At 40.8% G+C, this 13,514-nt stretch overlaps 1 protein-coding gene across 6 annotated transcripts in view; it reads left to right on the forward strand.

The window, feature by feature from the left end:
• DNAH9 (dynein axonemal heavy chain 9) overlaps positions 1-13,514 on the forward strand; it is a 371,279-nt gene that overhangs the window by 182,140 nt on the left and 175,625 nt on the right. For 5 of the 6 annotated variants that reach the window (XM_011523703.3, NM_001372.4, XM_017024292.3 and 2 more), the window contains 4 exons: positions 400-565; positions 3,037-3,139; positions 3,691-3,930; positions 12,894-13,055. In XM_011523703.3, the coding sequence (XP_011522005.1) occupies positions 400-565; positions 3,037-3,139; positions 3,691-3,930; positions 12,894-13,055 (671 nt within the window). The other variant, XM_017024295.2, reaches the window with a different exon arrangement.

Consider the following 13,514-nt stretch of genomic DNA (forward strand, 5'->3'; position numbering starts at 1 on the left):
GCATGGTCTTTGAGTTTTAACCACTGTGGTTTGTATCCAGCCAGTAAAGTTGCTGAGTTCTTTTGAGCCTTGGTTTCCTCATCTGTAAAATGGGATAATACTAATCTCACAGTTATGTTATAAGGATTAAATGAGGTAATTAAGATGTCTAAAAACTTAGCACAGTGCACGTGGTGAGGTGTTCAGTCCCCATTACTGCCTAGTAATTTCAGTTTCACTTTCTGGTCCTGTAGAATGCCTGTTGGGAGCAGCAGTAGCTGTTATTATTGTTGTCTTTCGCGTTGCTGTTTTTTGCACACATGAAGGCAGCACCATTGCTTCTCCTTGAAATCTTTGCTGTCTCAGTACTGGCATCTGAGATTTGAGCCGCCTTCCCTCACCGACTGGCTCTCTCCCCAGCTGTCCTGGAGAAGCCTCTGGAAAAGAAGGCTGGCAGAAACTATGGCCCTCCAGGGAACAAGAAACTCATCTATTTCATTGATGACATGAACATGCCTGAGGTGGATGCCTACGGGACGGTGCAGCCCCACACCATCATCCGGCAGCATCTGGACTATGGCCACTGGTAAGAGCGCCCATGTAGAGGGACTGGCCCAAGGGAGCAGAGCCTAAGGCAGGGCTGAAGGCCAGTCTCTATTCTGCCTGAACGGCAAACCTCAGCATAGCTCTGGTGCCAGATGGGAATCTTTGTGGTAAACCACATTTCTCATTCAATTCTCTATTTCCCAGAGTGGTTCCTTCAAACAGGAGCACTAATATTCACATGAAACATTTAGCCAGAGAAGACACTGAGCTCTCATCTAAGGAAAAAAAACCTACTTTTTGCTTCAAGACTCATCTCCGAAGTTGCCTTTTTCACATGCCCGAAGCAGAATTAACCACTTCCCCTGCACCATGGCCCCACAGCACTGGGCATGTGCTTCAATGATAACACCTAACACACGCCAGGTGCAGTGGCTCATGCCTGTAATCCCAGCACTTTGGGAGGCTAAGGCGGGTGGATCACAAGGTCAGGAGTTCGAGACCAGCCTGGCCAACATGGTGAAACCCCGTCTGTACTGAAAATACAAAAATTAGCCAGGCGTGATGGCAGGCGCCTGTAGTCCCAGCTACTCGGGAGGCTGAGGCAGGAGAATAGCTTGAACCTGGTAGGCGGAGATTGCAGTGAGCTGAGATCATACCACTGCACTCCAGCCTGGGCAACAGAGCGAGACTCCATCTTAAAAAAAAAAAACAAACAAAAAAAAAACTACCAAACACCCGGTACCATGCACCGTGTCTGCAGACCTTCCAGCCTCAGTGCCTTCAGAGCAGCTCAGAGGGCTGGATAGTATCTCTTGCGACAGCATAATTTTTAATGGCAAAAGTCTGAACTTACTAGGAAAAAAAAAAAAAGCAAGTCACTGATTTGAGACAACTTTGACTCACCTTTCTACCGCATACTGAATCTGCTGCTGAGAAAGAGTGAGAAGAGAGAATTCAGAGAGAAGAATGTTAGTTAAGATGGCAACTTGAGTTGCCTTCTCTTCCTTCCCAAAATCTTTATTGGATGCTTGAACTATGGAACTGTTTGCAATCTCCACACTGACATCTGAGCAGCTTAATTTCATGGACAATCATTAGAGTCAAGCTAACTAGTTTTACTTTAGATTCATGGTCACAAACCTTAAATGGGAAGTAGAAGCTTCCTGGAAATTCTACCATATGGCCTTAGTATGTCCACTCTCAGAAATGTCTATTTCATTCCATCTTCCCTCTCTTTGATCTTCCCACCACACCTCAGCTGATGACCTTGCCTTCTCAGAGAACACAGATGCCGCCTCCATTTCTTGCTTCCACATCTATACAACTCACCCGTGTCCCCATGCATCTCTCCTCCACCCTCCTGTTACATCTTACCTAAGGCCAAACCTTCCACCAGCCTCTTCATTCTACCGTCTCCCACTCATCGATCGGTCCCCATCTCCTCATTAGCTGCTTCACATCATTTAAACTTGCATAAACAGGCTGGGTGCAGTGGCTTATGCCTGTAATCCCAGCACTTTGGGAGGCCAAGGTGGGCGAATCACTTGAGCCCAGGAGTTTGAGATCAGCCTGGCCAACATGGTGAAACCCTGTCTCTACTAAAAATATAAAAATTAGCTGGATGTGGGGGCCCATGCCTGTAGTCCCAGCTACTTAGGAGGCTGAGGCAGGAGAATGGCTTGAACCCAGAAGGTAGAGGTTGCAGTGAGCCGAGATCTGCCATTGCACTCCAGCCTGGGTGACCGAGCAAGACTCCGTCTCAAAAAAAGAATAAATTAAAAATAAACTTGCATAAATTTATTCTATTGGGTTAAAAAATTACTTTATAATTACTGTTCTGTCCCCACTCTCTTATCTCCCACTCACTCCTCAATCCACTATTATTTGATTTCTGTTCCCTCCACTGTTCTTACTAAACTACTATCTGCATCATTATTACAAAATCCAAGAAATCCTTTGCAAGCTTGTCCAGCTGCCTTATTTTGTTGTTGTTGTTGTTCTGGTTTGTTTTGTTTTAGGCTTTTAGCAGCCTGAAACCATGGTTTTTAGTTTCTGTCTCTAGTGATAAGTGGAAAAGAGGGATGAGGAAGGGGCATTACTGGCCCAACCAGAGATGGAAGCTAAGAACCCATGACTGCATTCTCTCCCTTAGACACCCCTGCTGAAGTCACTACCTTTGTTATTCTCTCTGCAGCCCTTGATGTGGTTGACCACTCTCTTCTTTTGAGAACACTGGCTTCCTTTGCCTTTTGGTATGGCACGAACCCCTGATTTTTCTCCTATCTTTTTGTCCATCCTGCTGGCTCGTCTTCCTATGCTATTTCCTTAGATATGGAGGTACCTTGGGAATCTGTCTTATGCTCTTATCTCTTCTCAATCCCTGCCGGTGGATCTAGACTTTTTTATCACCCAAACACATGAACAGTAGGGCACATCCTACCGCACCTTGACAAAGCACTCACCTGCCTCAGTCCTCAGACACCTTTCACCTAGAGCTTCTGACTGTTCCAGGTATGATCGGAGCAAGCTGTCCCTAAAGGAGATCACAAATGTACAGTATGTTTCCTGTATGAACCCCACGGCAGGCAGCTTCACCATCAACCCCCGGCTTCAGGTACAGGAGGAGCCATGGGACCTGGGTCCTAATCCTATCTTACTAGAGCTGATGCCCCTTGATTATAAGTATAATAATTGGCCTTTTTCCCCATGCAGCCTCTCAGAATGGTAAATCAGATAGAATGCCAAATTGCATCTCTAGGGGAAAAGAGAAACTCCTAGACTTAGAGTCTCAAGATTGGAAGGGGTCATAGATTTCATCTGATTTGATCCCTCTTTCTTCAGATGAGGGCGCTTCAGAGAGATGAATGACTTTCCCAGGGCCATATGGATTCTCAGTATCAAATTCAGATTTGGACTCAGATTCTCTGAGTCCAAGTTTAGTTCTCTTCCTACTGCCCCAGGCTGCCATCTTTAACTGAAGGTGCTTTGCCTGTTATTCCCCTAGTCATTTTAGGTTCAACCTAAATTTGGGCATAGTGTGAGAGATGGGACCAAAATATAGATTCGAAGGCTGTATAAGAATTTTCTGTTATCTCCAAATTCAGAAGCGGTGATTTCTACTCCGTGGTAACGGATGTTGAGCTCATGCCTTTGTTTCCTGTACAGCGTCACTTCAGCGTGTTTGTCCTCTCCTTCCCGGGGGCAGATGCCCTGTCCTCTATCTACAGCATCATCCTCACTCAGCATCTGAAGCTCGGAAACTTCCCGGCGTCCCTGCAGAAATCCATCCCCCCACTGATCGATCTGGCCCTCGCCTTCCACCAGAAAATTGCTACCACCTTCCTACCCACAGGAATCAAATTCCACTACATCTTCAACCTCAGAGATTTTGCCAACATTTTCCAGGTGAGTTCATCGGCTCCGAGACACCCTAGGGGCTTAGTGATTATCCAGATGCTCCGATTCTTCATAAAAATAAGTAGCTAATGCCCAGCTCATAGGCACAGGCAAAGCCACTGTTCATATGTAATCATGAACATAAGCAGGTACACACAGTGCCATGGGCTCCATGAGGAAGGCCCTCAATAAAATAGAGTTTCCTTTGCCAATTAAATTATTTCTCGGTAAGCAGCATGCATCTCTGAGTTGGTTCCCTGGGGGCTGCAGAAGGCTCAACACCTTGGAGATAGTCTTATATAATGAGTCCAGTATGCCTGGGAAGAAAAATGGCCCAAAAGAAAGAAAGAAAACTATTTTGGATCTCCCATTGGTACACCTATTGATCTCGGGATGAAAAAGAGTGTTCCCCAAACTGTGCAAGATAGCTCTGCTTCCTCAAAAAACCACATTGTCATACTCCTAAGATGCCATCTGCCAGCCTCTAAGAGGGTCTCAGTCCTAAAATTCCCAGGTTCATTTCTAGACTAAAGCTGTTTCAGATCTTTCCAACTGCTTATCTGAATAGTGATGGCGTATCTCTGCCTATTGCTTCCAATTGCTTGGCTCATCACCATCAAAGTCTCCAGAGGGCCATCTAGCAAACCCAGACCCTTTCTTCCGTCTGGTCAGATGTAGTATCCTCATGTAGCCAAGTCTACAACTCTCCCATTCTGGACAAGAATCTGCAGAAACTCATTTGTAGAGAGACCTTCCCCCAAGATAATACTGGGTTATTATTGAGGGAATGATGCCTTTCACACCAAGCAGAGGCCACACCCATAAAAAAGTGTCGAAGTGATCAGGCAGTGACACCACCTTCCAATGACAGCACATGTAATTGTAATTAATTTCTCAGAGCAATTATGCAGGCAGGACTTTGAGCCAAACCATCAAAGCTCCAGACCCTGACGACATAAGGCCAGGTTGTTCCAGCCTGAACTCCTGATTGTAAGAAGCAGAAACCTACTAAACCCTGGTTCAGAGACTCAAGAGCTATGGACCAGGAAAGCTCCACCTGAAGGTGGAATCAATGAGCCCCTCAGAATGATAAGTCTCTGAGAACACATCCAGGCTAGTTCAGGATACCACTCCTGAATCAGATGTAGCTCCCAAACATTAGCTCATTTTAAAAATTAAAAACAAACAGAGACCCACATAGATCATATATATTTGCCCAGGAGCACAAGGAAGCCAGTAAAGGAACTGGAATCTAGGTCTTTGGGTTCCTGGCCTGGACGACTTTCCACCACACCTTTCTGTCCTCATCTGAATTTCCAATGAGGAAAATAAGCATGTGATGGTTAAGGCAGCAAGAGAGACTCAGCTCTGAGCCTATAAAGCCTGCATCTCTGCAGGCCTCAGGACTGGACAGCAGCAAAGTTTGTGCTTACTCACAACTAGCTCCCATTTTATGAGCATTCATTGAGAAAGACTTTTTCACCACACAATCTTTCTCTTAAATATTACTGCAGCTCTATGAAGTGGGGGTGTTACTAGGTGGATTTTTCAAATGAAAAAAAAAAGAAGTTAACATTGTTTGATCAAATCTACACTGCTCCTAAGTGACAGAACTGAAGGGAGAAGCATCAATTATGCTCCATTTATCAGAAGCAACCCAACCTTAGCTTCTGCCTGGAACAGTGGTCTTGTCCCCTGTACAACCTGAAATGTAATACTCACGACAACCCTTTGGGATAGACATTGTTATCCCAATTTAACAGAGGCTCAGAGAAGTTACTAGCTAGTCAATGACAGCGCCAATGGTCAGGGAGGTTAAAAAAAAAATTCTCGTGGAATAGCAAGGAGTTTAGCCCAGTGGGAACGACGAGTGATATGGAAAGGAGAGATGAGGTTGGAAAGGTAACTTGAGACCAGAGTGGGCCCTACTTAACAGTTAGACTTTAGTCTGTAATAATAGCCAACATTGACTGAGCACAGTGCTAAGCCCTTTACATCTATGAATGCACTTAATCCTCACAACAACCCTAGAAGGTAAAATACTGATTATTTTCAATTTAGAGATGACAAAACCGAGCCACAGACAAATCAGTCTCTTGAGCGTGACTGCATGATCGCATAATGGTAAGCAGCAGCATTGATAGAACAGCTAGAATGTTCAGCACTGCTGTGGAGGTAATTCACGGTGACAAAAGGCTTCCGGAGGAAAGAGTACACCTTGTGGTAGTGGTCACTGATGCAATATCAAGGAGGAACCAGACAGCAGAGACATGGGAGTGGAGATTGTTCCCCTGGCCTGTTTCTCTGCCTGATTCAGTTAGCCTGAGTGGAAACCCCCTGAGGTCTGCATCCCAGCCAGGCGTCTTTGCAGCCTGCCAGCTGTCAGCTGCTCCAAGTGTGGAGAACGCAACATCCCTGGAGTGCTGCCTCCCTTCTGCTACGTGGTCCCCTCACTCTCCTACTCTAAGGAGAGTTTCAGGCTCATAGCTTGACCACAGTCTCCTCCTACCTGCTGTGAAAAGAAAAACCTTAGCTAAATTAAGTTTAACAGTGTTTAACTGATCAAAGAACAATTCACGAATCCGAATTGGGTAGCCCACCGGGCCAGAGTAGGCTCAGACAGACTCCAGCAAAGCCACGTGGTGGAAGAAGATTTCTGGACAGAAAAGTGAAAGTGATGTACAGAAAACAGAAGTGAGACACAGAAACAGCTGGATTGGTTACAGCTTGGTGTTTGCCTTATTTAAACACAGTTTTAACAGCTGGCCACCTGCAATTGGGCAAAACTCAGTGATTGGCACAAGAGTAGTTACAGTCAATTTACACCTCCTTTTAAGTCATAGTTCACAATGTACAGAGCAACTTTTAGGCCATACTTAAAGCACATCAGGAGGCAGCTTTAGGCTAAACTTGATTTAACACTCCCTTCCTCCTTGAGTCTGACCAAAGGCCTGATTGAAGGGTATAGAGGGTGGTTTAATGTCTACTAGGAGACAGGCACTGCCCAGAGAACACTGTTGTTTTCCTTTATCTGGCTTGATCCCAGGCTCAGTAATTCAGAACTTCTCTGTACTCCCCTCGCTCTGTTCAGATCAGAACAGAATTTGATAGTGCTCTCATATGGTTTGGCTCTGGGTCCCCACCCAAATCTCATCTTGAATTGTACTCCCATAATTCCCACATGTTGTGGGAGGGACCAGTGAGAGATAATTGGAACCATGGGGGCAGTTTTTCCCATACTGTTCTTGTGGTAGTGAGTAAGTCTCACGAGATCTGATGATTTTATCAGGGGTTTCCGCTTTTGCATCTTTCTCATTTTCTCTTGCCACCACCATGTAAGAAGTGCCTTTTGCCTCCCACCGTGGTTCTGAGGCCTCCCCAGTCATGTGGAACTGTAAGTCCAATGAAACCCCTTTTCCTCCCAGTCTCAGGTATGTCTTTATCAGCAGCATGAAAACGGACCAGTACATGCTCTGAGTAGCAGAAATCACTAACCATTCCCATCTCAGTGCAACACATAACTATCTAAGATGGTGCAGAGTTGGCATATGACATGCTCACATTTACTCAGCCTTAATTGTCAACCACCCTGACTATTTGGCTATAACAAGATTTATAAACTTCAACTGATAGCTTGCCTCACTGTAAAACACAAAATTCTAAAGGTCTGGACTCCTGGTTGTTGCTTTTTCTTGTCCTCTGAATTTCATATATGGCAGGTACCTAGGAGAGCTAAGAAGGAGACAGAGGCTGCAATAAACATCTGGGTAGAGCCAAGGAGACCTAAGGGAATTTCTTTTTGCTTTTAATAAACTTTTATCAAAGTGTAACATACAAGTAGAAATACACAAAAGCCACAAGCATACAACTTGGTTAATTATCACAAAGGGATCTCACCTATGTAATCACCACTCAGATCAAGAAAGAAAACATTCTCAATATATCCCTGATGTTCTCCTTTGCACCTTCCATTCATGCTTTCCTGCTTTCCTCCTCTTGTCAGCCCTACATATTGTCTAAACTTCTAACATCATAAATTATTTTGACCTATTTTTGAACTTTATATAAATAGTATAGCCAATATCACTTTGTATCTTTGTTCAGTATTATATGTGTATCTCTATTTTTAATAATTGTTACTTTTTGACTTAAAGAGTAACAGTTATGTTTCTTTCTTTTCAATCCTTAAATTTTTTTAGTTCTTTTTCTTGTCTTATTGTGCTGGCTACAACTCAAGTACAATGTTGGAGAGAAGCAATGAGAGTAGCATTTTGACACAGTCGTGATTTTACAGGGAAACACTTTTAATAGTTTGCCATTAAATATGATATTCTCTACTGGTTTTTCTGGGTACCTTTTACCTGATTAAGGAAATATTTTTCTGTGTATAGTTTGCTAAGAGTTTTAATTATGAATATGTGTTGAAACTTAACAAATGATTTTTCTGCCATCTGTTTAATTATATAAAGTTTTTCTCTTCTATTCTGGTAATATGATAAATTAATTGATTATTTTCAAACATTAAATCAACCATTCCTGGAATCAACTCATTTTGGTTGTTACATGCTCTTTTTTAAATATTTTCCTAGGTTTCATTTGATAATTTTTAATATAATTTTTGAATCTGTATTCATAAGATTGTCTTGTAATCTTTCTCTAATATTCTAAGGTTATAAAGTCCTCATAAAATACTTTGAGAAGTGTTTCCTCTTTTTCTGTTCTCTAAAAGATTTAGTAAAACATTGTATTGTGCTTTCCTTAAATGTTGGAAGAATTTACTGGTGAAACCACCTGGAGGTTTGTTTGGTAGAGGTTTTAAATTATAAATTCAAATTCTTTAATATGTATAAGACTATTCAGATTGTCTATTTCTTCATGTGTCAGTCATGTTAAGACATCCTTGTTATCAATAGTTGCTAATTTATTGGCATAAAATTGTAATATTCTCAGATTATCTTTTAAATATCTGCTGTATCTGACATTATGTCCTCTTCCTTATGTTGGGTATTAAGTGTGTCTTTTCTCTTTTTTTCTCTTCTATCATCCTTGCTAGGGAGTTAGCAATTGTGCTAGTCAAAAAACCTGAAGGGTATACCTGCATTATGCATTTGACTTTCTTACTGTCTTAATTTGATATCTGTTTTATATATTATTAATATTTTCTCTTTGCTTTATAATTTTTATTCCTACTTACCTTGGGTTTGGGGTTAGTTTGTTCTATTTCTAACTTCTTGGCATGGCTACTTATATCATTAATTGTCATCCTTTGTCTCATCTAAAACATTCATTATAAGACTATATAAATTTATCTCTAATCACACCATTAGCTACATCATGCAAGCTTTTATATGCTGTATTTTTATTATCATTCAGTTGATAATATTTAATTTCCACTATGATTTCTTCTTTGACTCACGGAATATTTAGAAGTGTATTGCTTTATTTTCAAACATTTAGAGATTATCTAGTTATCTTTCTCTTATTGATGCCTACTTTAATTCCACTGTTGTCAGAAGACACTCTATATGGATTTATTCCTTTGAAATTTGTTGAGACTGCTCTATGTCCCAAGATATAATCGATGTGCAGGGTTTTTTTTTAATGCATTCTGCAGATATTGGGTATAGTTTTATCAACATTCCAGTTAAAGCAACCTTGTAAATCATGTTGTTTAAAAAATTCCTAAAATTTCTAGATTTATTTGTCTGCTTGTTCCTTCAGTCCCTGAGAGAGATGTTACGATATTTCACTGTGATGGTGGGTACGTTTATTTTTGCTTTTATTTGTCATATTCACTTTATATATTTTGAAACTGTGTTATTTATTAGGTACATACAGATTTAGAATTAGTATATCTTCCTAGCAGACTGATCTTTTTCTTATTAAGTGCCCTTCTTTATCTCTAAAAACGATGTTTGCTTTAAAGTCAATTTTGTATGACATTAGTATGTATGACTATTCCATATCTTTAGTCAATATTTTTATGACATGTTTTCATTTTCTTGCACTCAGCTTTTCCATATTCTTATATTTAAGGTATATCTCCCATAAGCAGCATACGGTTGGGTTCTTTAAAGTCCCACCTGACAACATTGCCTTTTAATTACAATGTTTAGCTCATCTATGTTATTTTATATAATAATATATTTATGATTAAATCTACTTATGCTCTTTTTAATATATTCTATCTATTCTACCTCCTTTCTTCTCACTTCTTGTATTCTATCAAACTAATCGTATGTTTTTATAATTGTTCTCCCTCTTTTAGCATAGTATACATCCTTTTGCTATTCATCTAATGGTTACCAAAAGCATCATTTTATCTTTTTGTCTTTTATAAATTAGCATATTTATTAATTGCCATACAATGCAAGGATCTTGGGACAATTTACCTCTCACTGATTTTTGTGCTATCATTTATTTTAATTCTCTGTATTTTGAAAACTCACTGATATCTGTGTTTTAGTAAGTCAGCATTCCTTTAGAGTTACCCATATGTTACCTTTTCCATTGCTCTTTATTCCTGTACATTCCTGTTCTTTCACCTGGGATCATTTTTATTCTGCTTGAAGAACTCCTTTTAGTATTTACTTTAGTTCATATCTGTTGGAGAAGTATCTCACAATTTTAACTTGACCAAAAATATATTTCTTATTTTTAAAAAATTTTAGGAGTGTCTTGGATTTCTAGGTTGGTTGCTATTTTCTTTCAGCACTTTGAAGGCTTCTTTTATTGTTTCTGTTGAGAAATTACCTTTAGACTTATCACTTACTAAGTACTAATAATACAATTATAAAAATAAACCACAACCTAAATAAAGTCTGTCAACTTCCTACCTTTGAGACACTTGCCATCACCCGGAAGAAGCAAACCTGTATAAAGAAAAAATAATAATTTGACAACGGGTGAGGTGGCTCTTGCCTGTAATCCAGCACTTTAGGAGACCAAGGTGGGCAGATCACTTGAAGCCAGGAGTTCAAGACCAGCCTGGCCAATATGGCGAAACCTGGTCTCTACTGAAAATACAAAAATTAGTTGGGTGTGGTGGTGCGTGCCTATAATTCCAACTGTTCAGGAGGCTGAGGCACGAGAATTGCTTGAACCCGGGAGGTGGAGGCTGCCGCGAGCCGAGATTGCACCACTGCACTCCAGTCTGGGTGACAAAAAGTGAGACTCTGTCACAAAAATAATATTAAAAATAATTTGGGAAACTAATAATTCTTCTATAATCGAGACGTATACATAAAGGCTCTGTGAGGCACATGGGAGGGAATGCCGCTGGACAGGAGAGGTGTCTTGGGCGACTTCAACAAGAGGTTTCAATTGAGCTAGATCTTGAAATATGAGTATGGCAAGCAAAGCAAAAGGCATGAAGACACAGAAAAGTTTGCAGGATCAGAACATAATAGGAATTTTGTGAAACTGGAATCTAGGTTTTATGGGAAGTAGTGGTAAAAGTGATCATGAGGGGCTGGGCACAGTGGCTCATGCCTGTAATCCCAGCACTCTGGGGGGCCGAGGTGGGTGGATCACCTGAGGTTGGGAGTTCAAGACCAGCCTGACCAACAATGAGAAACCCCATCTCTACTAAAAATTAGCCAGGCATGGTGGCGCATGCCTGCAATCCCAGCTACTCAGGAGGCTGAGGCAGGAGAATTGCTTGAACCTGGGAGGCGGAGGTTGCAGTGAGCCAAGATCACACCGTTGCACTCCAGCCTGGGCAACAAGAGCGAAACTCCGTCTCAAAAAGAAAAGAGTGATCATGAGGAAGCAGATTGTAGTAATGTTGTCACCAGACTTGTATTCTATGTTAATGGATCTGCACATTATTCTATGAATTTAAGTAAAGACCCATTAAATGATCCCTTTCCCTCTAAGACAAGAAAGCAAGCAATGAGAACAAGCACAGACATAGATGAGCTTGAACTTAGAGAATTTGTTGAGGTTATTGAGGGGCTCTAACATTGGTGGTCTCCACCTTTCAGTAAAATAAAAGAAGGTTAGGACTTTGGCTAATAGTAACAGAAAAAGATGACAGAGAAATTTGAAAAGAATGATAAATATTTGAAACCAACCCTGTGGCACATAGGAAGGGGAACTGACTAGAGATAAATAAATAGATTGCTGACCTGCCAAGGTTAGCTATATCCCTTCTAGCCCTTTGTTATAGTTCTGATTTTACATAGTCAATTGTTATCTGAATCAGTTTTCAAAATGGCACTGTGGAATTGAAATATAGCAGAGAAACCACTTTTTCCCTCATTGTGGGTGATTCAAAATGGAGTGGTTACAATTCCAGGCATTATAGTTAGGAAGGCAACTTACTCTATGAAATGGGGCGTGTTTTCTCTCTGAATTCCAATCTTCACATTATACAAAATGGATTTAGTAATAATTATTTCATGGGATCATCATGAGTATTAAATGAGCTTCATCTGGCGAAGCATCTAGTCCAATGCTGGCTTCAATAGCATCTAGTCCACATAACTGGCTTCAATAAATTATAGCTGTTGCAGTTGTTATTTTTATGATGAGCACAAAAGAATAATTCCAATGTATTGAGTATGTAAAATGAACAATGCTTGTTTCCTTAGGCATATTAATTTGAATTATTTAGACAACTTTAGAAAGTCAGTATTTTTATTCCACTTTGAAAAGTGAGCAAACTAAGGCTCAGAGATGTCACATGCCTCGCCCAAAGTCACACAGTTGCTTAGTGGTTGCCCAAAGTCACAAGTCACATAGTGGTTGTGCAAGTATTTGAGGTCAGGTCTGTCTAACTGCAACCCTTGGGTCTTTCTTTACAAGCTCCCTTTCAGCTTCTCAGTGTTCCCTCCACTAGAATGATCTGTTTAGCAAGACAAGCCCTAGACATCATCCCAGGTTAGATAAAATGCTCCAGGAAGTTTTCCTAGCTATTGTACCTCTGGATGGTTATTAACGTTATTTTTTTGTGTCTGTTCCCCTTGAAGGGCATTCTCTTCTCCTCAGTGGAATGTGTGAAATCCACATGGGATCTTATAAGGCTCTATCTGCATGAATCAAATCGAGTTTATCGGGATAAGATGGTAGAAGAAAAGGACTTTGATCTTTTTGATAAAATCCAGACAGAAGTGCTCAAGAAAACTTTTGATGTGAGTATTGCCCTATGGATTTTCTTTGTATTTGAAAAAAAAAAAGATAATTATACAGATGATCACCCAATGATAAAATCTAGCTGTTTAATGGAGAAAGGCCAGAGTTTAGGTGAGGAAGGAAATTCTGTCATAATTTTGCCCAGGTAAAAAAATGCTGGGGCAAGAATAGATGCAAATTAATCCCAGAATCCCAGTGTTGAAGAAGTCCATAGAGATCATCTGATCCAAGTCCCCACATGGTACTTAGTCCCCTAGCAGCATTTCTCAGATTGGTTACCCCAGTGATGCTCTAGCATCCTTGAAATGCATCATCCCATTGTTTCCAAGGCCGCCATTTTGGGGCTGCTAATAACTGGAAATTTTGAGCAATTTTTTTTTTTTTTTTTTTTTTTTTTGAGACAGAGTCTTGCTCTTTCGCCCAGGCTGGAGTGCAGTGGCGCGATCTCGGCTCACTGC

This window comes from Homo sapiens, chromosome 17 (genome assembly GCF_000001405.40).
Source record: "Homo sapiens chromosome 17, GRCh38.p14 Primary Assembly".
NCBI lineage: Eukaryota > Metazoa > Chordata > Mammalia > Primates > Hominidae > Homo > Homo sapiens.